The sequence below is a fragment of the Homo sapiens genome, chromosome 1 (assembly GCF_000001405.40).
Source record: "Homo sapiens chromosome 1, GRCh38.p14 Primary Assembly".
NCBI lineage: Eukaryota > Metazoa > Chordata > Mammalia > Primates > Hominidae > Homo > Homo sapiens.
In genome coordinates, this window is record NC_000001.11 from 89,052,268 (window position 1) to 89,078,551 (window position 26,284).

General features: G+C 38.8%; 1 protein-coding gene and 1 long non-coding RNA gene across 2 annotated transcripts in view, besides 2 other annotated features; one reads left to right on the forward strand and one right to left on the reverse strand.

The window, feature by feature from the left end:
* The window catches only part of LOC105378841 (uncharacterized), a 57,743-nt gene that overhangs the window by 10,525 nt on the left and 20,934 nt on the right, over nucleotides 1-26,284 (forward strand). The window contains exons 3-4 of the long non-coding RNA XR_947575.3: nucleotides 15,558-15,609; nucleotides 17,012-17,148. This is a non-coding gene — a long non-coding RNA (uncharacterized LOC105378841). The remainder of the gene's footprint in view (nucleotides 1-15,557; nucleotides 15,610-17,011; nucleotides 17,149-26,284) is intronic.
* GBP1 (guanylate binding protein 1) lies at nucleotides 52-12,941 on the reverse strand. Its single transcript, NM_002053.3, has 11 exons — nucleotides 12,893-12,941; nucleotides 10,778-10,986; nucleotides 7,930-8,057; nucleotides 7,050-7,159; nucleotides 6,574-6,776; nucleotides 5,725-5,967; nucleotides 4,587-4,867; nucleotides 3,749-3,961; nucleotides 2,846-2,948; nucleotides 2,415-2,608; nucleotides 52-1,201 (listed from the first exon to the last, which is right to left on the reverse strand). Exons 2-11 carry the CDS (start codon nucleotides 10,965-10,967, stop codon nucleotides 1,088-1,090), a joined length of 1,779 nt encoding a protein of 592 aa, NP_002044.2. The 5' UTR covers nucleotides 10,968-10,986; nucleotides 12,893-12,941; the 3' UTR covers nucleotides 52-1,087.
* Nucleotides 3,876-5,075: an enhancer, noted in NCBI's record as "BRD4-independent group 4 enhancer chr1:89521826-89523025 (GRCh37/hg19 assembly coordinates)". NCBI's record gives its function as "activates an origin of replication core promoter dependent on BRD2, P300/CBP, MED14 and CDK7 cofactors, and independent of BRD4, by STARR-seq in HCT116 cells {active_cell/tissue: HCT116}" and the evidence as "EXISTENCE:reporter gene assay evidence [ECO:0000049][PMID:35650434]".
* Nucleotides 13,138-13,237: an enhancer, noted in NCBI's record as "active region_1295". NCBI's record gives its function as "activates an Ori minimal core promoter by ATAC-STARR-seq in GM12878 lymphoblastoid cells {active_cell/tissue: GM12878}" and the evidence as "EXISTENCE:reporter gene assay evidence [ECO:0000049][PMID:35858748]".

Below are 26,284 nucleotides of genomic sequence, written 5' to 3' on the forward strand. Positions count from 1 at the left end.
TAACTGCAAAAAAGAAAATCAGAAATAAGAAGCCTAGTGAAATACATTGTATTTTCAGTTCAAAAATAATTTTTAATTGCTATAAGAAACATCAACCACTTTCCTAGGACTTTTCACACATAAGACAAAGTCTACATATACTAGGTAAACACAAGAGCATTATTAAATGAGTCAAAAATGTCAAAAAAAATCCCATATTCTCTTCTGGGGAAACTCAGAAAGTTTTCAAGTATGAGTGTTAAGAGTTAGAAAAGACTATCATAAGCTTTAACATTCTAAATAATAAGTAATTGAATTATTTCAGTTTAGTTACACAGCATCTTTTAAAGTCCATCTTTGCAAATTATACGTTGCTATAAATACATTGTGTATTTGGCATTATGTGAATTTGTTTAATCCAGTGTCAATTGTCTAATGGTCTAAAGTGTCCCATTGAAGTTATAATCTGGATGAACTGAACAATAAGAGAAGTTTTCTTCATTAGCCCAATTGTTTATCACTCAATTCCTACTCCTGCCCATGGTTTCTTCCACCTTCCTCTGGAGAACATAAAGAGATTCTAGATCTCTGTATAAGGTGGTTTGCTTTAGCTTGAAATCATCAGTGAGGATTATACATGGGCAATGTCCAGAAATCACATTATTGCTCATAGACCGTGTAGTCTTGATCTAACGGATAACTGTACATTGTCTTCACTAAGAAGCTAGGGTGGTTGTCCTTGATATTGGGACATTGTAGACTTGGCCAGACCAATGCCCAAATATTTCCCAAGACTTTTACCTAAGACTCTGCTCAGTATCCATTTGTCTACTGCTGGTCATCTGGAAGAATAAACTTCTCCTGAGTGGTACCAGCTTATGAGATTTCCTGAGTTGATACAGAGGTAAATGCATCTTTGTTGCACAATTTACAGTCTTTTTTTTTTTTTAAGAAAAAACATGATTTTGATCATTGTACCACATGCCTTTATAAACTTTTGGTGTTATGATGCAAGATCTAATTATTATCAAATGTAGTGACGCTTGTTCCAAATTCTAAAATTGTTTCAATTATGCCTTGGTTAGGGGTGACAGGAAGGCTCTGGTCTTTAGCTTATGGTACATGCCTTTCGTCGTCTCATTTTCGTCTGGAGATCCTGTATCTCATTTTTCATTATTCTGCTTTCTTTTTGAAATCCCTCTTTTAGTAGTTGCTCCTGTTCCTAAAAAGGGACAAACGAAGGCTGAGTAAAGTGTAGCATCAGGCAAATTGAAACATTCTATCTGGTTTCCACATTAAATGATTTGTTATTTAATTTTCTCTGAGTCACGCAAGACGTAAATGTCATACTTTGGCCTATCATTGACCAAAGCACAGCCATGTTCCTTACCCTATTATGTATATGACATAACACCGAAATAAGCAAAGTATCCTCAAAATCTCATAAGGTGTATGAATCATGGATTAGGAAATTTGGTCTAAGCTGCCACACCTTGGTGTCAGGGGTAGCAGAAGACAGGTAAGAAATCTGAGTGCCAGACTGACCATACTGAGTTTCTGCACATAGCTCACAACTCAAAACAAACTGGGAGCAGGACATTAAAAATAATCAGAATTAGCAGAGTATCACACAGGTGTGAGGGTTAGGAGCCTTTCTGCTCATAAAGGTTTCTTAAATCTAATTTCATAGTAGGTGTCACAGAAACAAATAATCATTGTGGATTCCGCTAAGTGATGAAGACAGCTCTGATATATTTACTAGCTGTGTGAACTTAATTATTTATTCTTTTTGGAACCTTTGTTTCTTCTTCTAAGTAATAAGGATATAGTTCTTGCTACATATGTTATTAAGCAAGAGATACAGATTTTTTTTTTTGGAGTCTCGCTCTGTTGCCCAGGCTGGAGTGCAGTGGTGCGATCTCAGCTCACTGCAAGCTCTGCCTCCTGGGTTCACTCCATTCTCCTGCCTCAGCTTCCTGAGTAGCTGGGACTACAGGTGCCCGCCACCACATCTAGCTAAATTTTTTGTATTTTTAGTAGTGACGGGATTTCACCGTGTTAGCCAGGATGGCCTCAATCTCCTGACCTCGTGATCCGCCCGCCTTGGCCTCCCAGAGTGCTGGGATTACAGGCGTGAGCCACAATGCCCCACCGAGATACAGATATTTTAATGATGCCTAGCAGATAATAGCTTCCTTGAAATGAAGGATATATTGATAAAGGACTGAATGTTACACAACTGCAAATAAAAAACTTTCAGTGACCAGACTTGGCAGTAGCCAGTCAGGCTGGACAGACAGGAATTGAAAAGTACAAGTAAGCAAGCAGGGTCCTTACCCTGGGCTTCATGTTCTCTCTGCCACACTAAGTTTGCGATCAGGGAGAATGGAGAGAAAACAGAAAAACAGAAACCTCAAGGTGATGCAATTAGATACCTGAAGTTTAAGAGCGAGGGTCCTCTCTTGCTCTTTCAGCAACTGGACCCTGTCGTTCTCCATCTTCTCAGTCAGTTGTTTCAAGTGTTCCTGATAACTCCTCTCCTTCTGTTCCATCATCTGCTCATTCTTTCTTTGCATTTCCTGCAACATTTTTGCTGAAGCCTGTGCAGACTCAGCTTTCACACGTTCCACTGAGGAGGAAAAGGCAGAAGAAAAATTTGTGTGGGGTTATCTTGTTGCCTCATTCTTCCTTATACACTTACCTGTCGTTGTTGCTGACTGCATATGCCCTACTCAGAGATGACCTCGGCAAGTAAGACACACCTTTGTGGATCTTGCTCTAGTTAAAGGGTCCCATGTTTATCCAGTCAAGTTATTTCAATTTTTGGAGCTTTTGAGGCCATCTAATCTCTTAACTCACTCCTCACCTTCAATCTCCTTTTCTTTTTCTGTGAGAGTCTGGTCTGTCTGGAGAATTGCATCAGTCATAGACTCCTTGGATTTCAAGTATGTCTGCAGAATCTCTTCAGCCTTAGGACCCAGAGAACACAGAGTGAGAAGTAGGAAATGGCTGTAAGCAGGTGTTCCTGTTTGTCTTCCTGCCATCCTTTCTCCTCTGGGAATTCTTTCTCTTGGCCCTATTGTCCTTGGTGGTCAAATTCCCTGTCGGAGCGACAGACACATGCTCCTGGCAAGCCGATCAGAACATCCTACTTAGCAGTCATTTTTAGTAGGCTAATATAGATACTGGGAAAAGGAGAGTCTCTGTCCTGTTTAGATTAAGGGCTCTAAGTTTGGAACTGTTAATGCTGTGGTCCCATATGGGCTGAGCCTGCTGGGGAATGAAGCCATCATTGAGAAAGCAAATATCAGAGTGACTCAGATAGAGGGATGGTGGGAGGGAGAAAACTGTGGGGATGGGGGAACACTGGACAGAGAGCCAGTTCATGATGTTACTTGAAACCTTAGACCCACCTGACCTGTAAAGCCAGTTTGCAGCCTAAATCAATGAATTACATTTTTGTTTAAGCAGCCATCATTGGGTTCCTGTCTCTTGCAACAGGAAAAGCCCAGCTGTAATGATGACAATAATAACTTTGTGCTTCATCTGCTAATTGAATTTATAACTTAATAGTTAATTGACTGCACTCTCTTTGATGAGCACCTAGGACATATCTGGTATAACAGCCTGTTTGCATATGTTATTGAATAAAAGCATGAATGTTATGCAAACAAAAAAGCACATCTGTATGCAGTGAAGCTTGGTCACCTTGGTGTTTGTAGGAGGCAGGTCAGCAGCTTTCCATAATTGACAGATAAATCTTGGTTACCTGTATCCCCTTCCTCGGTTCCTCATAGTACTTTTTCTTCAGGTCTTGTAGCTTCTGAACAAAGAGACGATAGCCCCCTGGTTTCGAATAAATTCCCGCCTTCACTTCTTCTTCTAGAGGACTGAAAATGACCTGAAGTAAAGCTGAGCAACGATCTGATGATGCTTCCTGATTCTGTTTACAAAAGTCATCCCGCTTTTTTTCTAGCTGGGCCTTTAATGTAAAAATAGGAAGTAAAAAGAGTAACAGGGAAAGGATGTTAGCTTGACCTCAGAATTTTGGGAACGATTTCTGAAAATAGAAGTCAATGATGCTGGAGAAACTGACAGCCTCCTCACCAGGACCACACTCTTCCTTCTGACCCCACTTTCTGCTGAAGTCGCTTTCTTTTTGGAGGTGAGGTTCAGGGCTGAGATTGATAGCTTTATGTCAACTGTTAGAGGAAAACTCTGTTTTTGCATATTGGACTAATGATTTCATATGGAATAAATGTGGCTGAACGGAAGCCTGCTCAAGATAAGTAGGATGAAAATTTTCTTTGTGTTTGGCTAGAATATCAAATCAGTCTGAGAAGAGTGGGCAGGTAATTTTATTAGAAGCTCTGGTTGTCAGTTGTATGCATAAGTAAAGGGAAAATTATTCAGGAAAAAATGTTTTAGAACTTTGGGTCTGTAATAATACAGTTGGTCCTTCTGACTGATGTGATCACAAATCTGTTGTTTTCACCATTATGGAAGCTAGGAGGAATTACTTCCGTCAAAATAAATAATAGTTTTCTTTCCTTGTGGTACTTTAGCTTCTATGACCCTAAACCGTATACATTTGAGACAAAAATTACCGCTAACTCCTTTTGAAATAGATGGTCCACATCTTTGAAGGAACTCCTGATGAAGACTTCAATGGCCTCTCTCTCACTGTCCCTGTGCAGGTCCAGCAGCTCCTGGAGGGTTTCTGTGGGCAGCTGCACCTTCTGGCCCATCTGCTGTTCATAGTGGGCAATAGCCTTTTGCACTGCAGCTGAGTTCTCTATCTGGGCCAAGGCCAGGACTGCGTTCTCCATGCACGGCAGATCCCCACTGCTGATGGCATTGACGTAGGTCAGCACCAGGCTCTCTAGACCTGCATATGAAGAACAAATGATAATGTTTCTGGTGGTAAAGAAAGTCTCTATTCCATGTAATTCTGAGCATGTCAAATACCACCTATTTTCCTCACAGCATCAATGTCCTCAGCATCACTTGGAAGCTTGCTGGAAATAGACTCTCAGACCCTGTCCGAGATCTATTGAATTAGACTTTTGTGTTTGGTAAGATCCTCAGAAGATATGTATGCATACCAACATTTGAGAGTTCTTGTACTAGATTACATAGACTTGTGTTAATTGAATGTTTGCATCCATTTTAACCCCAACCAACATTAGGACAGGAACCATATCTATTTCATTTATATCTGTATCTTCAGTCTATTCATAGTAAGCATTTGATCAATATGTATGAAACAAATGACACTATTCCAATAAAAAAGAGTCATCCATTTAGTTTATTTTATTGCAGTATTGTTCAAAAGCGCTTTCTGTAATGCTGGGAATGTTGTATATGTGCTTTTCAGTGTGCTAGTCACTAAGTACGTGTAAATATTAGTCCTTGAAATACAGGCATGTGAATTGACTTTTAAATTTTCCCTATTTAAATTATTTACATTTATGTTTACATAGACACACTTGTCTAGGGGCTACTCTATTGCATAGTGCAGGTCCAGTTCACTAGGGCAATTTCAAGCAATAGAACTTTTTTCCTTTGGCCTTTTCCTAGACTGGAAATGTGACTAACAATATATGTTAGAAACATTGGTGCCATCTAGAATTTAACACAAATATAGCAGTAGATTGGGATTTTTCAATGCTGAAACTAGGTGGAAGTTATTCTATGCTCCTCTAGTCTTAAACAATGAGCAGAAGTACTAGGAAGGGGACTTACGAGGCCCGTTGACCTGGATGCCTCCTGAAAGAGTTTTAGTTTTGGAATTACTAAAGATGTAGGAACAGAAGTCTGCTACTTGTTGCACAAATTCGGGGTCCAGCTCTTCATCTTGTAGTTTCTCGAGCTGGGCAAGCTTCCTGCGGTGAACGGGCCGATCAAAGACAAAGCATTTTTTCTTTGGGAAGAATTTCCGGATACAGAGTCTGGGCAGGTTAAAAGTTTCATCTTTTTGACTGGTACCTAGAAAAACATTTAAAAAATTATAAAATTGCCTAATATAAGTGTTTCTGTAAAGGGCCAAATAGTAAATATTTTAGGCTCTTCAGGCTGGATGGTCTCTTTTCCAAGTATTCAACTCTGTTATTGAAGCATGACAACAGCTTTAGACAATATGTAAATGAATGGGCATAGCATTATTCCAAAAAAACCTTATTTACAAAGACAGCTGGCAGGCAGGATTTGCCATGATTTGTCTTGGGCTGTAGTTTGCCAATGCTTGGACTAGCACACGGTTCATGTTTTAGTCTATGTTCTTTAAATAAATATCCATTGTACTCCATACTCTATGGCTAAGTAGAAGATCACAAACCCTAGGCAGGGAGATAAAATTAACCTAATCACAGCATACACAAAGGTGAAAGAACAAGAAACTTGTTCTAGAACAATGACAAATGTAATTTAAAATAACATCTATTAATTTGGATATTCAGCAAGTATTAATTTCTAGGAATAGCCAGCTGAAGACATAGAAAACTGCAAATGCTGGAAAACTAGCAATAGTAAACTGAAAAATGATAATTTCTTGTGTTTTCTCATCCTCATTTATCAGTTGAAGCTCTCTGTTACCTTTCTTCAGCTTCAGGGAGTATGTCAGGTACTCATCTGGTGTGAGGGGTTGTCCATCTGCTTCCAAGTCCAGGGAGAAATCTCTCAGTGTCCACACAAAGTCTGGGAAGAAGCTCACAAAGTCAGCTGAATCCTCAACCTCATTCTCATTCTCATCAGGTGAGGATTTTGATCGGATTCTATGTGTCAGCTCTGTCACATAGCTGAGTAGCTAACTAAGGAAATGTGACAAAATGAACAGGGACCTCATCCCATGTTAGTTCAACACATACCCAAACCTTCCATTTTCCTTTGCTCCTAACCTAAGTGTCAGTGTCAGTTCTAAAGTGGATACATGGGATCTCTCCTCTGTACTTGCATTATTTTTTGTTTTCTCCTTTTGAGCTTGATTCATCAGGATTCACAGTCAGGCAGCTGGTGTATGAATACAGGTGTCCCCTCTGACCTTGGTGCTGTTCTGGGTCACAAAAGGATACTACAGTTGGTCCATAGCCTGCTGGTTGATGGTTCCTATGCTATTGTACACGAAGGTGCTGCTCAGGAGGACGGCCAGGGCGAAGATCCAGGAGTCATTCTGGTTGTCACCCTGGAAGTCAAGACACACTGGAGTCAGGAGCAAGTTTCATCATCGCAGCACTTTTCAGAGTAACAGTAGTAAAACTATGTTCATATGTTAGAGGGTTTTTTTTTCTTTTCTTTTTTTTTTTTTTTTTTAACACTAATGACCTATTAAAGGAAGACAAATACAAAAATTATTCTCAGTAGGATGTGGCTTTTGGGTAGTTTTTCGACGAGTGTTTTTGGGTTACCATGATTCTTACTAGGTCTTCTAATGATCATCAACAGATAATTGTAAAATTAAAATTCAAGGTTGGTGGGCATTTTAAGGCCTGAGTACAATGTAAATTTAAAATTTTCTCTTCTTTTTTTCAATAACAGAATTCACATATAAGATTGGTACTATTAGTTGCTATTTTATTGAATAATTAATATACACCTGTAATGTATTATCTTATTAAATATTCAAAATAATACTATATGGCCAACATAGGTCTTTTCCATACATTTTAAAGATTAGAATGCTGAGGCGAAAATAAGTCAATTTTCTCAGGCTACTGAATTAGTGACAGAATTTAAATTTAAATACAAAGTCACATGGCTTTAGCACCCAAATTCTTAACTAAAGTTCTGTGCAGGATAAGACTTATGACACTGGGATTATTTGTGCTCCCTTTATGCATCTGTGTTAACCCACACATATTACAGCCTGTAGTTAATAGTTAATAAACAATTAACCGCTGCATAAAATATTCAGAGAGGAGGGGCTTACTCCACAACTGGATCCTTGAGTCTCACCTTCTCTACATCTCCCAGACCCTCGGTGTCCAGCAGAACTAGGATGTGGCCTGGCTTCTTGGGGTGGGGCACACACCACATCCAGATTCCTTTAGTGTGAGACTGCACCGTGGAGCCCAGAGAGAAGCCTGCAAGGGAGAGAGGAGACCAGCGATGGGGATTTAGTAACAGGCAGTTCTGGCAATTGAAGGAAAAAGTAGTATATTTAAGGTTAAGAGAGAGAACTGAAACAACAATCAGTATTCACCTTACGTACTTACAATCAAAGAAATAGGAAATTTGAATATCCAATGCATGGAAACATTCAGGAGGCTTTCATGATAAAAATAATCAACAAAGTAGAAATAGAAAGACAGCACCTCAACATAATAAATGCCATGTATTAAAAACCCACAGCTAACTTCACATTTAATGATGAAACGTCATAGCTTTTCCTATAACATCATGAACAAGAAAAGGATGCCTACTTTTGTCAATTGCATTCCACAGAACACTGCAAGTCCTATCCAGAGTAATTAGACAAGAGAAGCATAAAGGAGGCATCCTAATTGGTAATGAAAAAGTAAAATTATCTCTGTCTGCTGATGATAGTATCTAATTTGTAGAAAACATTAACTATCCCACAAAAAACTATTAGAACTATTAAAACAATTCATCAAAGTTGCAGCATGCAAAGTCAATATGGAGAAATCAGTTGCTAGTGTAAAAAATAGAAAAGGAAATTTTGGAAACAATCCAATTTAACAGCATCAAAAGAATAAACTACTTAGGAATCAGCTTAACCAAGCAGGTGGAAGACTTGTAGAGTGAAAACTTCAAACACCCTTTAAAGAAATTATAGATGACATAAGTTATTAGAAAGACATCCTGTGTTTATGGATTGGAAGACTTAATATTCTTAAGATGTCACTACTACCCAAAGTGATGTACAGGTTTGATATAATCCCTACCAACATTCCAATTACTTTGTATAAATAGAAAAATCCACCATAAATTTCATATGAAATTTCCAGAGATCCCCTAATTATAAAAATAAAAAGGAAGAGCAAAGTTGGAGTCTCACAGTTTCTGAGTTGTGAAACGTATTACAAAACCATGTGTGGTACTGGTATAAAGACTGACATATAAACCAATAGAATAGAAAAGACAGCCCATGAATAAACTCTGATATATATGGTCAAATGATTTCCAGTATGGGTGTCAAGATCATTTAATGAAGAAAGGAGAGTCTCTTTAACAAATGATGTTGAGGAAATGATATATCTCCTTAAAAAGTTGGGCTATTACCTTATAACTTACAAATATGAACTCAAAATGGATCAAAGAACCAAACATTAGAGTTGAAACTATAAAAGTTGTAGAAGAAAATAAAGGGTAAAAGTTTTATAATATTGGATTTGGAAATTATTTTTTGAATAAGAAACCAAAACTATAGACAATAAAAGAAAAAATAGATTAGTGGGACTTCAGCAAAATTTAAAACTTTTGTGTATTAACGGACACTATCAACAGAGTTAAAAAAGGCAACACACGGAATGTAAGAAAATGGTTTCTAAACATGTATATGATAAGGGATTGATATCTAGAAAATATAAAAAAATTTACAAAGCAACAGAAATAAACAACCAGATTAATAAATGAACAATGGACTTGAATAGACATTCTCCCAAAGAAGATATACAAGTGGCCAATAAGCACGTGAAAAGATGCTCAACATCACTAGTCATTACGGAAATCAAAATCAAAACCACAACGAGATACTACTTAACTTCCATTCGTATGGCCACTATAAAAAAAAAAAACCACTGAAAATAAAAAATGTTGGTGAGGATGTAGAGAAATTAGAACCCTTGTGCATTTCTGTTGAGAATGTAAAACGGTACAGTCACTGTGGAAAATGGTATAGTGATTTCTTAAAAAAAGTTAACATGCAATGACTGCATGAGCCAGCAATTCCCCTTCTGGGTATATTCCCAAAAGAAGTGAAAGCAGGGACTTGAACAGATATTCAGACACCCATGTTCCTATTAGCATTATTTATAATAGACAAAAGGTGGAAGAAATCCAAGTGTCCATTGACAGATGAAGAGATAAACAAATTAGTATACACGTACAATTACTAAGCCTTAAAAAGGAAGAGTTTTGACACATGCTAACACACTGATGAACCTTGAAGACATATGAATTGAAATAAGCCAGTCATAAAAGGACAAATATTGAATGATTCCACTTATATAAGGTTTCTGTAGTAGTCAAATTCATAGAGATAGAATGTAGAATGATGGCAGGCAATGGGTTTATGTGGAGCTTTTGTTTAGTTAATACAGTTTCTGTTAGGCAAGATGAAAGATTTCTGGATATGGATGGAGGTGACAGCTGTATAACAATGTGAATTTCATTAATGCTACAGAGCTGTACACTTAAAAATGGTTACGAGGTTAAATTTTATTTTTTTTACAACAACAAAAAATAATATCCACTACAGATTGAAACATTTTTTCAACCTTAAAGATCACTGTGAACTCTGTTATTGCATAAAAATTGTAATAAACATTGTATAGTTTATTATAGTTATTATTATGTACATTAATTATTTTTATTACTGTCTTACTCCTTTTAGGAGAGGCATAATTTGTGCTTTTGAAATGGAAACTAAGGTATCATGGGAATAATTAATGAATTGATTCTTATCCCCTAGAACAGCGTGAAGATAAGGAGCCCGACTGTGAATGGAAAGTTAGCTTTCAGTATTCATCCTCATCTCTTTCTCTCCTCACATCTTCATAATGGAGGCTGACTGTGTAGATGGACAGAAGGGACTTGGCAGAGCTTTGCTCATGCCACTCACCCTTTTTCTTTCCAGCCAGCTTGTTCATCAGGTAGGATTTGCCTGTGCGGTAGAGGCCCACAATTGCCACCACCACCATAGGCTGTGTAATGGCAGAAAGGATCTTCAGAGCTTCTGGATTCGCCATCAGTCGCCCATTAGTGTTCTCAATGAGGCACATTGGGCCTGTCATGTGGATCTCTGATGCCATGTCCAGGCTGTTCCCTTGTCTGCAAGAGAAGAGGTGAAATACATGAGAATTTCTAGTGTTTTGCAATTATAAGGGAGAATCATAAGATTCCCCAGTATGGCCAAAAGTTTTGTGTGTGACAGCAAAAGAGATGAGGCAAAATCTGTATCATTTGAGAAAGTTATGGAAGTATTGTCAAAGTAGCTCATTATGAAAAATGTTAGCATGACAGTGACTTATCAACACTCAACTACTCTCACGACCCAAATATTTCATTTAGTTTATTGTGGAAAACTTTCTTTTTGGATTCTTATTAGATATTTTCACTAGTCAATTAATGGAAGATAGAATAGGATTTAGAGGATTTATTTGCATCCTGGCTGTATGTAAGGAATTCAATATTGATTCACTTATTAATTCTCACAGTGAATAAACATCCAACACAGTGAATCAGTATTCATAGTTTGATGTTTACCCTTAGAAAAATTTCCAAAGATTTTTAAATGTGTTCCTTCCTCCATCTTCAAATGATTATGCTTATTTCACTGCAATGAGGATTGACAAAGCTTCTCACATTGCCATTCTGGAAGTGGTAACAATGTAACATACTTTTGCAAATTTTATAAAACTATACAACCATGTGAAACACATGGCTAGGGAACCTTCCAAGGGCTCCTAAGGGTCATGTCCAAGAGAAGGGCCCTGAAACTTAAGCTTCATTAGAGTCACGATAAGATAGCTTCTAAGTCACTGAGGGTATGAATGCAAAATTGCAAATACTGAATGTTTCCTCCAGATAATAAGGATTAAAAGATCAAGAGGCAGATAAAGAGAGCTACCTAGGAAGTTGTTCAAATAAAATATATTTCCAGCGATACAGCTTTAGGATTTCTGTTTTGTTCTGTTTTCCATTTGGTAGGGTAGGAGAAAGAGAAATAGAAAGAGGAGGAATAGTAGGAGTGGAGAGGAGGATAAGGGGCTGGGAATGTGTGTGTGTGTGTGTGTGTGTGTGTGTGTGTGTGTGTGTGAGAGAGAGAGAGAGAGAGAGAGAGAGAGAGAGAGGAGCTGTCAGACCAGAGGTGATGAATGAGGCTAGTGTCTTGACAAGGCATTCAGGGGAAGACTTTGCAGAAGGCAGGATCAAAGTAGTCTGAGTGCATGGAGAGGTTAAAGTAAGCAAAGATATTTTCTGTAGAGATGCATTACAGGAGAATTAAAGAGGAAACACTTTTGGCCCTGCTCTCTACTAAAAGAAGACAAAATTGGAAGCACTTCAGTGAAGCAGTGGGGTTGAATTTCACTTCTAAGGGACAGGGATCAGTGGGCACTAGGAAATTAGTGAGTCTGGACTATTTCTAAAGAAAGTAATCCATTCTGAAACAAAGTTCACAAGTGTAATAAAAAGTATACTGTTTTCATGAATCTTCATCTTTCAGGCTGAGTTTCAGTTTTTTCTTTGTCTTTAACCGTGTCAGTGGGCTGCTTACTCTGCTTCTCATTTGCTGTTCTTTCCTTCCATGAAAAGAACCCGTTTGTAACTCTTCCATTTCTTAGCTGCATAGAAGCAGGATTCAGTCCATCACTGACGATGGAAATGTAATCATATCCCTAGTCAACATAGATAATGTCAACAAAGAGAAAGACTATCCTAGTACATTTCAAATGCTCAGTTTAGCCCCTGTCTACTGGTGCCTAATTCAACACAAGCACTGTAGTGGCACTTAAGGCCATGCTGTCCCTGATAACACCAGGATTTCATCTGACCTGCGTCCCACTTCAGGCTCATCTGCAGCCTAATTTGGTTCTGATGATGTTTAAGAAAATGAACTGACCTTTATAAATTCCTTCCCATCCCTGCCACAACCTTATAGGTTCCATATCACTGAGCTGAGATCCTTTGGAGCTAGAGAGAAAGCTGCTTGATGAGAAGTAGTAAAAGTTCTTACCTGTTCTTTTTCTCCTTAGTTCACGAGCACTGGCTTCTAGCACTTCTGTGTCTCTCACTGGATCCCTGGACTAATATTTCACTGTTCCGAAGTTGTAGGGCTGGGATTTCCTCATTGATGAAATATTTAGAAGCTAAGCAGATTTGTAATGGATTTAGAGTAATATGAAACTGAAAGTACTTCGTTCAAATCACTGACTCCACTACCATAAATGGAATTAGTGGAGTGTGCCAGTGGGAGGGTTTAAAGATTTCTCAACCAGAAGCTTCAAATTTTTTTTGTTGTTGTTGGAAATCTTAGAGACCATTTGTTGTCTAACAAAATGCCCATTAGGTTTTGAATACAATGATACATGTCTCATGGATTGAGTCAATTTGAGAAACCTAGAATGAGGAGGCATCATGTTAATTTTCAGCTACAATTTCCTAAAATAATAGACACACTCTCAATGGAGCTGCCTATTCTTTGAGAGGTGCAGTACATAAGGAAAGGACATGTTTAACACACTCATGAACACCTAACCCCTGGCACTTAATGCCCAGCACACAGCCAGGAGGGGGCTCCATGTGTTGTACTCATGTTCTAGGCTCAGTACTGATGGCTTTACATGAATCGCACAACTGAAAACTCATAATATTTCCTCATGGTTTTATAGAAACTGAGCACAGAAAGACTTTATTAGTTGTCTAAAATCATAACACTGTAACTAATCTGAACCCAAGCACTCATGATCCCATACCCTCTTCTTGAACCACTTCACTATGCTGCTTATTTACTAAGTGAAAAATTGTAGAAATATTTTATTTATAGGTTTTTTATTTTTAAATTTATTATAGTGTGATTTTATTTTTATAGATTGTTTTCTAAGAGCTGTTTGTGTTTTATGTCTAATTCAGTAATGACTTCTAGCATACAGAATAAGTGGCATTATCTCTATTTTACAGCAAAAGCAAATAAAATAGTAAAAAGCCTGAGTGAACATTTCATTTAAAAATATATTTATAGTGATGTGGTTTCACTTTGTTGCTTAGGTTGGTCTTGAACTCCTTCCTTCAAATGATCCCCCTGCCTCGGCCTCCCAAATTGCTGGGATTATAGGCATGAGCCACCAGACCCAACCTTGTGTGAGCATTTCTTTTTTTTTCTTTTTCTTTTTCTTTTTTTTTTTTTTTTTTTTTGAGATGGAGTTTCACTCTTGTTGCCCAGGCTGGAGTGCAGTGGCACGATCTCGGCTCACTGCAACCTCCGCCTCCTGGGTTCAATCAATTCTCCTGCCTCAGCCTCCCAAGTAGCTGGGACTACAGGCATGTACCACTATCCTGGCTAATTTTGTATTTTTAGTAGAGATGGGGTTTCTCCATGGTGGTCAGGCTGGTCTCGAACTCCCGACCTCAGATGATCCACCCACCTTGGCCTCCCAAAGTGCTGGGATTACAAGTGTGAGCCACCAGGCCTGGCCAAGCATTTCTCACTTACACATTAAAATTATATATTAGATGTATATAAATTGCAGATACAGTGTCTTTTCTCATTCATACTTTGTAAAATAATTTTATCTAAACTCTTTCTATCATCCTTCCTTAACACTGTAGCTCCTTTATTATTAAAACTACTTTAAAGTCTTTTACTTTTTAGAGCATAACATTCTTACATCTGTCAAAATTATTTGAACCATTTAAAATCTCTGCAGATTGTCCTGGAAGTGTAGGGGTGGGTTGCCCCTCCACACCTGTGGGTGTTTCTCGTAAGGTGGAACGAGAGACTTAGGAAAGAAAAAGACACAGAGACAAAGTAGAGAGAAAGAAATAAGGGGAGCCGGGGAACCAGCGTTCAGCATATGGAGGATCCCGCCAGCCTCTGAGTTCCCTTAGTATTTATTGATCATTCGTGGGTGTTTCTCCGAGAGGGGGATGTGTCAGGGTCACAAGACAATTGTGGGGAGAGGGTCAGCAGACAAACACGTGAACAAAGGTCTTTGCATCATAGACAAGGTAAAGGATTAAGTGCTGTGCTTTTAGATACGCATACACATAAACATCTCAATGCTTTACAAAGCAGTATTGCTGCCCGCATGTCCCACCTCCAGCCTTAAGGTGGTTTTTCCCTATCTCAGTAGATGGAACATACAATCGGGTTTTATACCGAGACATTCCATTGCCCAGGGACGGGCAGGAGACAGATGCCTTCCTCTTGTCTCAACTGCAAGAGGCATGCCTTCCTCTTATACTAATCCTCCTCAGCACAGACCCTTTACGGGTGTCGGGCTGGGGGACGGTCAGGTCTTTCCCTTCCCACAAGGCCATATTTCAGACTATCACATGGGGGGAAACCTTGGACAATACCTGGCTTTCCTAGGCAGAGGTCCCTGAGGCCTTCCACAGTTTTTGTGTCCCTGGGTACTTGAGATTAGGGAGTGGTGATGACTCTTAAGGAGCGTGCTGCCTTCAAGCATCTGTTTAACAAAGCACATCTTGCACCGCCCTTAATCCATTTAACCCTGAGTTTGACACAGCACATGTTTCAGAGAGCACGGGGTTGGGGGTAAGGTCACAGAATCTCAAGGCAGAAGAATTTTTCTTAGTACATAACAAAATGGAGTCTCCCATGTCTACTTCTTTCTACACAGACACAGTGACAATCTGATCTCTCTTGCTTTTCCCCACAGGAAGCATACATCACAATGAAACATCTATTCAAGGAGAGCTCCTATAACTCCGGTAAGAATAACAAGAATCTGTGGCACTTGACCCTTGGGCCTCTTCATCCTCATTTTCAGTTCGGGTTGACAAAAGGTCCACTACTGGGGGCTATGGAAAGAAGGTGGGGCTGCCTCTTCTCTCACATTCTGAGCAGGGATGACATATCCTATCAGGAGTGCCAGTCCACCAGAATTTTTCATCCCCTCCAATAGTGAGTTGTAAAGACTAAATTTCTGGTGAGTGTGACCAGAAGTCAAGGGCTCCCAAACTTTCCCAGTCCCACTCATAGAGCAGAGGCTCCATAACTGCCCAACAGGTTCTCCTTGCCTGTTGCCTAGGTAGAGCTGATTTATCAAGACAGGGGAATTGCAGTAGAGAAAGCGTTTAATTCACGCAGAGCTGGCTGTATGGGATTCTCAAGTTTTATTATTACTCAAAAGATTCTCCCTGATAATGTGGGTATGGGGGTTTCTGAGGATAATTTGGTGGGTAGGAGGTTGGGGAGTGGGGAGTGCTGATTGGCTGGGTTAGGGATGAAATCACAGGGCATCAAAGTTGTCCTCTTGCATGAGTTGGTTCCTGGCTGGGGGCCACAAGACCAGATGAGCCAGTTTATTGACCTGGATGGCAATTGGAGAGGTCTGGAATCTTGTGGCCTCTAGCTGCATGACTCTCAGACCACAGTTTCTAATCTCATGGCTGATTTGTTAGTCTTGCAAAGTTAGTCTAGTTCTCAGGGAAGAAGGGGTTTTATTTTGGGAAAAGGCTGACTAAATTCCTTCCAATGTCAGTTTGGCCTATGCTCAGGGATGAACAAGGACAGCTTGGAGGTTAGAAGTAAGATAGAGTCAGGTCAGATCTCTTTCACATAATAATATTCTCAGTTATAATTTTTGCAAGAAGATTTCAGCTTTAGCTCAGGAATGGCAGAATGAGAAACCCTGGCCTGTCACCCTCACTCTGGTTCACTTGTAGGGTGGTTTTTCCGTGTTGGGAGGGGCAACTGGCAAAGAGCAGAAGCTACCACCTCTGCCCATTCGAAGGGGTCATGGCTCAGAGATATTTTCCAGAGAGAGAGAGGCAGTCCATAAAATCAGAGCTCCAAAGCTTTTCCCACAGAAACTGACTTTATTTGAAAAAGAGTGTGGGCCGGGGGGAGATTCAAGCCTGGAAACATAAATAAAATTTACTACTAGATGACTGACTTTACAAGAAATACTATTAATAAAAGAAGGTTTTCAGGCAGAAAGCAGATGACTCCAGATGGCAATACACATCCACATGGACAAACAAAGAGCACCAGTAAGATAATTATATAGTTATAAAAGACTGTATAAATGCATATTTCTTCTTATTTCTCTTTTTAACTAATTTTTAAAAGACAGTTGTATAAAGCAATATGTATATAATTGTGTTTCAGGCTCATAACATATAGAAACGTGATATACTTAAGAACAGGACAAGAGAGGACAGTAGGAGCGAAGCTGCATTGGAATAAAGAAATGACAGCAGATGTTAACTTGAACCCCCAGGAATACATTAAGAGAACCTGAAACTGTAAGTTAACATAACAAGCTCTATACATTTATACCTTCCCCTTCAGCTTCTTTAAAAGACATAAAATTATGTGAATTAATTATAACAATGTATTATATTGTTTGAACATATATTTAACGTATTTAATAGTATCAAAAAAGTGAGAAAACTAGTATTTTTAGATTTATAAGAGTAAAAATTTTCTCATTGGAATTGATTTAGCATAAATGTGATATACATTCTCATAAATTACATATATGATACACTCTAGAGAAATTAGTAAGAAAATATTAGAACTCAAATCAATAACCTAATCTTTTACCTTAAGACGCTGGTGAATGAAGAGCAAACTAAACCCAAAGCTAGCAGAAAGAAGAAAATAATAAAGAATTTTGGAAATAAAGAGTAGAAATTAATGAGATAGAGAATATAAGACAAAAGTAGAGAAAATCAATAAAATCAAAAGCTGTTCTTAGAAGAGATCAACAAAATTGGCAAAAAAAACCTGTTTTGTTAGACTGGCCAAAACAAAACAAAAAACCCAGCAGAAGAACAGGAGACTCAAATTACCAAAATCAAGAATGAAAAAGGGGACATTACTTCTGACCTTACAAAAATAAAAAAGATTTTAAGGTAATGCTATCAACAACTGTATGCCAACAAATTAAATTAGACATAATGGACAAATTCGTAGAAAGACTCAAACTACCAAAACTGCCCCAAATTGAAAGTGAAAGCAGGGACAAGCTCTTCATTTCTGGGAAATAGACTAGATATTAAGAAAACCACTCTTTTCTGTTTAGTGCAATGTGTTGGGGACAGTTTTTGTGCTTTTTGTTTTTATGTCAGACAGCTGGGAAAAAATATTTAGGGAATTTTTCATTTAGATGGTGGGGATGAGGAAGCATCATTTCCTCACTTTCGGTTCATTTGGTTTGCAGGCTATGGAATTCTTCTAGTAGATGGTCACAGATCAAATTAATTCACAGTTTAGTATTATTACATGATGCAATAATTATTGTATATATGCCTAGCAGTCTCAATATCAGCATCCAATGAACAGACTGAATTTCAGGTGTGGAATGTTTTGATAGTAAGCTTATTTTCACACAAAGAGCTCTATGCAGCTGCCCGTAGAGTGCATAGCAAGAGGGATTCAGTGATTCAGCTGGGGTCACTGAGTCTCATATCAAATGGATGCAAGACCTGCAAGCTAGAAAAACAACCATATGCATGTGTGTGTATAGAGAGCAAATACACTGCATGCACAGCACTGTACTAGGTGCTGAGAAGTGTATGAAGATGAATTAGACACAGGCACTGCCCTAAACTGGACTTACTCTAGTGGGTAAGATTGACTTGCACTCAAAGCATAAAAGCAAAGGCCTGGAGAGGAGTGGAAGAATGGAGCACTGAACACTGAAATATGTAGCCCAAGATTGCACATTGGAAGATTTCAAACTTTTATCCATGAAGAATTTCCTTTCATGTCACCCAAGATTGCACATTTTATGTAGCCCAAGATTGCACATTGGAAGATTTCAAACTTTTATCCGTGAAGAATTTCCTTTCATGTCACTTATGTGAAATGAGTTGAGTTTTAATTTTATAAAAAATGACCTGTCAGTAAAAAACAGACACGTAGACCAATGGAACAGAATAGAGAATTCAGAAATAAATTTACATATTTAAAGTCACCTTATTTTTGACACAAAGGCCAGCAATATACATTGGGGAATGTATGTTCATAATTGATGCTGGGAAATGTGGATATTAATGTGCTGTATGAAAAATCAATTCAAAATGGATTAAATATTTAAATGTAAGACCCCCAGCTTTAAAACTATCACAGAAAAACATAGGGAAAACACTTGTGGACATCAGTCCAGGCAACAATTTGATGGGTAAAACTTCAATAGCACACTCAACAAAAGCAAAAATAGACAAATGAGACTGTTAAACTAAAAGGTTTTTGTGCAGCAAAGGAAAAAACCAACAGAATGGAGAGTCATCTTATGTAATGGGATAATGTATTTGCAAGCTATTCAACTGACAAAGGACTAATATTCAGAATATACAAGAGTCTCAACTCAAAAACAAACAAACAATCTTATTTAAAAAATGGGCAAAATATATGAATAGACGTTTCTCAAAAGAAGACATACAAATGGCTAACAAGTATATAAAAAATGCTCAACATGTCTTAGATCTGGCAGAATGACCGAATAGGAACAGCTCTGGTCTGTAGCTCCCAGTGAGACCAACACAGAAGATGATTTCTGCATTTCCAACTGAGGTACCCTGTTCATCTCATTGGGACTGATTAGGCAGTGGGTACAGCCCATGGAGAAGCAGGGTGGGGGCGTTGACTTACCTGGGAAGTGCAAGGAGCCAGGGTCCTCCCTCTCTCAGCCAAGGGGAGCCCTGAAGGACTGTGCTATTCAGCCCAGATACTATGCTTTTCCCACGGTTTTTGCAATCCACAGACCAGGATATTCCCTCCTGTGCCTACACCACCAGGACCCTGGGTTTCAAGCACAAAACTGGGCAGCTGTTTGGGGAGACACCGAGCTAGCTGTAGGATTTTTTTTTTTGTACCCTAGTGGCACCTGGAACCCCAGCGAGACAGAACTGTTCACTCCCCTGGAAAGGAGGCTGAAGCCAGGGAGCCAAGTGGTCTTGCTCAATGGGTCCCACTCCCACACAGCCCAGCAAGCTAAGAACCACTGGCTTGAAATTCTCACTGCCAGCACAGCAGTCTGAAGTTGACCTGGGACAATGGAGTCTAGTTGGGAGACGGGCGTCCACCATTAGTGAGGCTTTGAGTAGGCGATTTTTCTCCTGCTAAGGAGGCTGGGAAGTTTGGACTGGATGGAACTCAACACAGCACTGCAAAGCAGCTATGGCCAGACTGCCTCTCTAGATTCCTCCTCACTGGGCAGAGCATCTCTGAAAGAAAGGCAGTAGCCCCAGTCAGGGGCTTATAGATAAAAAAAACTCCCATCCCACTGGGACAGAGCACCTGGGGCAAGGGGCGGCTTTGGGCACAGCTTCAGCAGATTTAAACTTTCCTGCCCGCTGGCTCTGAAGAGAGCAGTGGATCCTGACAAGGAGGATTCTCCCAGCACAACGCTCGAGCTCTGCTAAGGAACAGACTGCCTTCTCAAGTGGGTCCCTGACTAGGAGAGACCTCCCAACAGCGACACCTCATACCAGAGAGTTCCAGCTGTCATCAGGCCGGTGCCCCCCTGGGACATAACTTTTGGAGGAAGGAGCAGGCAGCAATCCTTGCTGTTGTGCAGCCTCTGCCGGTGATACCAGGCAAACAGGGTCTGGAGTGGACCTCCAGCAAACTGCAACAGACTTGCAAAAGAGAGACCTAACCATGAGAAAAAAACTAACAGAAAGCAATAACATCAACATCAGCAAAACGGACCCCCCCTCCACAAAAACCCAGTCCAAAGGTCATCAGCCTCAAAGATCAAAGGTAGACAAATCCACAAAGATGAGGAAAAACCAGCACAAAAATGCTGAAAATTCCAAAAACCAGAATGCCTCTTCTCTAAATGATCCCAATTCCTCTCCAGCGAGAGCACAAAACTGGACAGAGAATAAGTTTGACAAACTGACAGAAGTAGGCTTCAGAAGGTAGGTAGTAACAAACTCCTCTGAGCTAAAGGAGCATGTTCTAACCCAATGCAAGGAAGCTAAGAACCTTGATAAAAGGTTATGGGAACTGCTAGCTAGAATATTCAGTTTAGAGAAGAATATAAATGACCTGATGGAGCTGAAAAACACAGCACGAGAACTTCCTGAAGCATACAAAAGTATCAATAGCCAAATCAATAGTGGAAGAAAGGATATCAGAGATTTAAGATTAACTTACTAAAATAAGGTGTGAAGTCAAGATTAGAGAAAAAAGAATAAAAAGGAAGGAACAAAGCCTCCAAGAAATATGGAACTGTGAAAAGACCAAATCTACGATTCATTGATCTACCCAAAAGTGATGGGGAGAATGAAACCAAGTTGGAAAACACACTTCAGGATATTATCCAGGAGAACAGCAAGACAGGCCAACATTCAAGTTCAGGAAATATAGAGAACACCACTATGATACTCCTTGAGAAGAATAACTCCAAGACACATAATCTTTAGATTCTCCAAGGTTGAAACGCAGAAACACACGTTAAGGGCAGCTAGAGAGAAAGGTCAGGTTGCCTACAAAGGGAAGCCCATCAGGCTAACAGTGGATCTCTCTACAGAAACCCTACAAGCCAGAAGACAGTGGGTGTCAATATTCAATATTCTTAAAGAAAAGAATCTTCAACCCAGAATTTCATATCCAGCCAAACTAAGCTTCATAAGTGAAGGAGAAATAAAATCCTTTCCAGACATGCAAATGGTGAGGGATTTTGTCAACACCAGGCCTGCCTTACAAGAGCTCCTGAAGGAAGCACTAAATATGGAAAGGAAAAACAGGTACCAGTCACCACAAAAACATACCAAAATATAGGGACCATCAACACTATGAAGAAACTGCATCAACTAAGGTGCAAAATAACCAGGTAGCATCATAATGACAGAATCAAATTCACACAGAACAATATTAGCCTTAAATGTAAATGAGGTAAATGCCCCAATTAAAAGAAACAGACTGGCAAATTGGATAAAGAGTCAAGACCCATTGGTGTGCTGTATTCAGGAGACCCATTGCACATGCAAAGACACATATAGGCTCAAAATAAAGGTATGGAGAAAAATTTACCAAGCAAATGAAAAGAAAAAAAAAGCAGAGATTGCAATCCTAGTCTCTGACCAAACAGACTTAAAACCAACAAAGATCAGAAAAGACAAATAAGGTCATTACATAATGGTAAAGGGATCAATGCAATGAGAAGAGCTAACTATCCAAAATATATATGCACCCAATACAGGAGCACCTGACCTAAAAAGAGACTTAGACTCCCACACAATAATAGTTGGAGACTTTAACAGCCCACTGTCCATATTAGACAGATCAATGAGACAGAAAATTAACAAGAATATTCAGGACTTGAACTCAGCTCTTGACCAAGCAGAGCTAATAGACATCTACAGAACTCTCCACCCCAAATCAACAGAATATGCATTCTTCTCAGCATCACATAGTACTTATTCTGAAATCAACCACATAATTGGAAGTAAAACACTCTTCAGCAAATGCAAAAGATTGGAAATCATAAAAAACAGTCTCTCAGACCACAGTGCAATCAAATTAGAAGTCAGGATTAAGAACCTCACTCAAAACTGCACAACTACAGGGAAATTCAACAACCTGCTCCTGAATGACTACTGGGTAAATAATGAAATTAAGGCCGAAATAAAGAAGTTCTTTGAAACCAATGAGAACAAAGAGGCAACATACCAGAATCTTTTTAGCTGGGACACAGCCAAAGCAGTGTTAAGAAGGAAATTTATAGCACTAAATGGCCAGATCAGAAAGCAAGAGAGATCTAAAATTGACACCTTAACATCACAATTAAAAGAACTGGAGAAGCAAGGGCAAACAAATTCAAAAGCTAGCAGAAGGCAAGAAATAACTAAGATCAGAGCAGAACTGAAGGAGATAGAGACTCAAAAAACCCTTCAAAAAATCAATGAATCCAGGAGTTGTTTTTTTGAAAAAGTTAACAGAATAGATAGAACACTAGTCAGATTAATAAAAAAGAAAAGAGAGAAGAATCAAATAGACACAATAAAAAATGATAAAGGGGATATCACCCTTTATCTGATCCCACAGAAATACAAACTACCATCAGAGAATACTATAAACACCTCTAGACAAATAAACTAGAAAATCTAGAATAAATGGATACATTCCTGGACACATACACCCTCCCAAGACTAAACCAGGAAGAAGTCAAATCCTTGAATAGACCAATAACAACTTTTGAAATTTAGGCAATAGTTAATAGCCTACCAACCAAAAAAAGTCCAGGACCAGACAGATTCACAGCCAAATTCTACCAGAGCTACAAAGAGGAGCTGGTACCATTCCTTCTGAAACTATTCCAAACAATAGAAAAAGAGGGACTCCTCCCTAACTTGTTTTATGAAGCCAGAATCATCCTGATTCCAAAACTTGGCAGAGTCACAACAAAAAAAGAAAATTTCAGGCCAATATCCCTGATGAACATTGATGTGAAAATCCTCAGTAAAATACTGGCAAACCAAAACCAGCAGCACATCAAAAAGCTTATCCACCAAGATTAAGTTGGCTTCATCCCTGGGATGCAAGGCTGGTTCAACATATGCAAATCAATAAACGTAATCCATCATATTAACAGAACCACATAATTATCTCAATAGATGCCAAAAAGGCCTTCAATAAAATTCAACACCCTTCATGCTAAAATTCTCAATAAACTAGATATTAATGGAACATATCACAAAACAATAAGCGCTATTTCTGACAAACCCATAGCCAATATCATACTGAATAGACAAAAGCTAGAAGCATTCCCTTTGCAAACTGGCACAAGACAAGGATGCCCTCTCTCACCACTCCTATTCAACATAATATTAGAAGTTCTGGCCAGGGCAATCAGGCAAGAGAAATAAATAAAGCACATTCAAATAGGAAGAGAGGAAGTCAAATTGTCTCTATTTGCAGATGACATGATTATTTATTTAGAAAACAGCATCATCTTAGCCCAAAAATCTCTTTAAGCTGATAAGCAACTTCAGCAAAGTCTCAGGATACAAAATCATTGTGCAAAAATCACCAGCATTCCTATTCACCAATAATAGACAAGCAGAGTGCCAAATCATGAGTGAACTCCCATTCACAATTACTACAAAGAGAATAAAATACCTAGGAATACAACTTACAAGGGATGTGAAGGACCTCTTCATGGAGAACTGCAAACCACTGCTCAAGGAAATAAAAGAGTACACAAACAAATGGAAAAACATTCCATACATACTTATGGATAGGAAGAATCAATATCGTGAAAATGACCATACTGCCCAAAGTAATTTTCAGATTCAATGCTATTCCCATGAAGCTACCATTGACTTTCTTCACAGAACTAGAAAAAACTACTTTAAATTTCACATGGAACCAAAAAAGAGCCTGTATATCCAAGACAATACCAAGCAAAAAGAACAAAGCTGGAGGCATCGTGCTATCTGACTTCAAAGTATACTACAAGGCTATAGTAACTAAAACAGCATGCTATGGTACCAAAACATGTATATAGACCAATGGAAGAGAACAGAGGCCTCAGAAACAACACCCACAACTACAACCATCTGATCTTCGACAAACCTGACAAAAGCAAGCAATAGGAAAAGGATTCCCTATTTAATAAATGGTGCTGGGAATACTGGCTAGCCATATGAGGAAAACTGAAACTGGACCCCTTCCTTACACCTTACACAAAAATTAATTCAAGATGGATTAATGACTTAAATGTAAAACCCAAAACCATAAAAACCCTAGAAGAAGACCTAGGCAATACCATTCAGGACATAGGCATGGGCAAAGACTTCATGACTAAAACACCAAAAGCAATTGCAACAAAAGCCAAAATTGACAAATGGGATCTAATTAAACTAAAGAGCTTCTGCACAGCAAAACAAACTATCATCAGAGTGAACAGGCAACCTACAGAATGGGAGAAAATTTTTGCAACCTATCCATCTGACAAAGATCTGGTTTCCAGGATCTACAACAAACTTGAACAAATTTACAAGAAAAAAAACAAAAAACCCCATCAAAAAATGGGCAGAGGATATGAACAGACACATCTCAAAAGAAGACATTTATGTGGCTAACAAACATATGAGAAAAGGCTCATCATCACTGGTCATTAGAGAAATGCAAATCAAAATCACAATGAGATACCATCTCATGCCAGTTAGAATGGTGATCATTAAGAATTCAGGAAACAACAGATGCTGGAGAGGATGTGGAGAAATAGGAATGCTTTTACACGCTGGTGGGAGTGTAAATTAGTTCAACTATTGTGGAAGATAGCGTGGCTACTCCTCAAGGATCTAGAACCAGAAATACCATTTGACCCAGCAATCCCATTACTGGGTATATACCAAAAGGATTATAAATTATTCTACTGTAAAGACACATGCACACCTATGTTTATTGCAGCACTATTTACTATAGCAAAGACTTATAACCAATCCAAATGCCCATCAATGATAGACTGGATAAAGAAAATGTGGCATATGTACATCATAGAATACTATGCAGCCATAAAAAAGAATGAGTTCTTGTTCTTTGCAGGGACATGGATGAAGCTGGAAACCATCATCCTCAGCAAACTAACACAGGGACAGAAAACCAAACATAACATGTTGTCATTCATAAGTGAGAGCTGAACAATGAGAACACATGGACACAGGGAGGGTAACATCACACATTGGCCCTTGTTTTGGGGGTAGTGGGCAAGGGAGGGAGAGCATTAGGACAAATACCTAATGCTCGCAGGGCTTAAAACCTAGATAATGGGTTGATAGGTGCAGCAAACCACCATGGCACATGTATACCTATGTAACAAACCTGCACGTTCTGCACATGTATCCCAGAAATTAAACCTCACTAATCATCAGTGAAATGCAAATCAAAACCACAATGATATATCATTTCTCCTCAGTTAGAATGGCTATTGAAAAAATTAATGCAAATACTAATAAAGATGAGGAGAAAAGAGAACTCTTATATGCTATTAGTGGGAAAGTAAATTAGTAAAGCCATATGAAAAACAGTGTGGACCTTTCTCAAAAACACTAAAAAGATGGAACTACCATATGATTCAGTTTTTTCCACTATTAAGTCTTTATCCAAAGGAAAGAAGGAAACAACAGACATTGGGGCCACATTGAGGGTGGAAGTTGAGAGGAGGGAGAGGATTGAAAAACTACCTGTTGCATAGCATGCCTATTACCTGGGTGATGAAATAATTTGTACACCAAAATCCCATGACATGCAATTTAGCTATATAAGAAAACTGCATATAACCTAAAAGAAACCTAAAATAAAAGCTAAAAAGGAAATTAGTATATAGAAGAAATATATGCACTCCATGTTTATTGTAGCACTATTCAAAATAGCTGATACTGCATCAACCTAAATATCCAACTACAGATGAATGCATAA

Coding starts and splice junctions, on each gene's coding strand:
- GBP1 (NM_002053.3), bottom strand. CDS start 10,967: ATGGCATCAGAGATCCACATGACAGGCCCAATGTGCCTCATTGAGAAC. Junction 5,968..6,573: donor CTCCCTGAAGCTGAAGAAAG/GTAACAGAGAGC, acceptor ATGTTTTTCTAG/GTACCAGTCAAAAAGATGAA. Junction 4,868..5,724: donor CATCCAGGTCAACGGGCCTC/GTAAGTCCCCTT, acceptor CTTCATATGCAG/GTCTAGAGAGCCTGGTGCTG.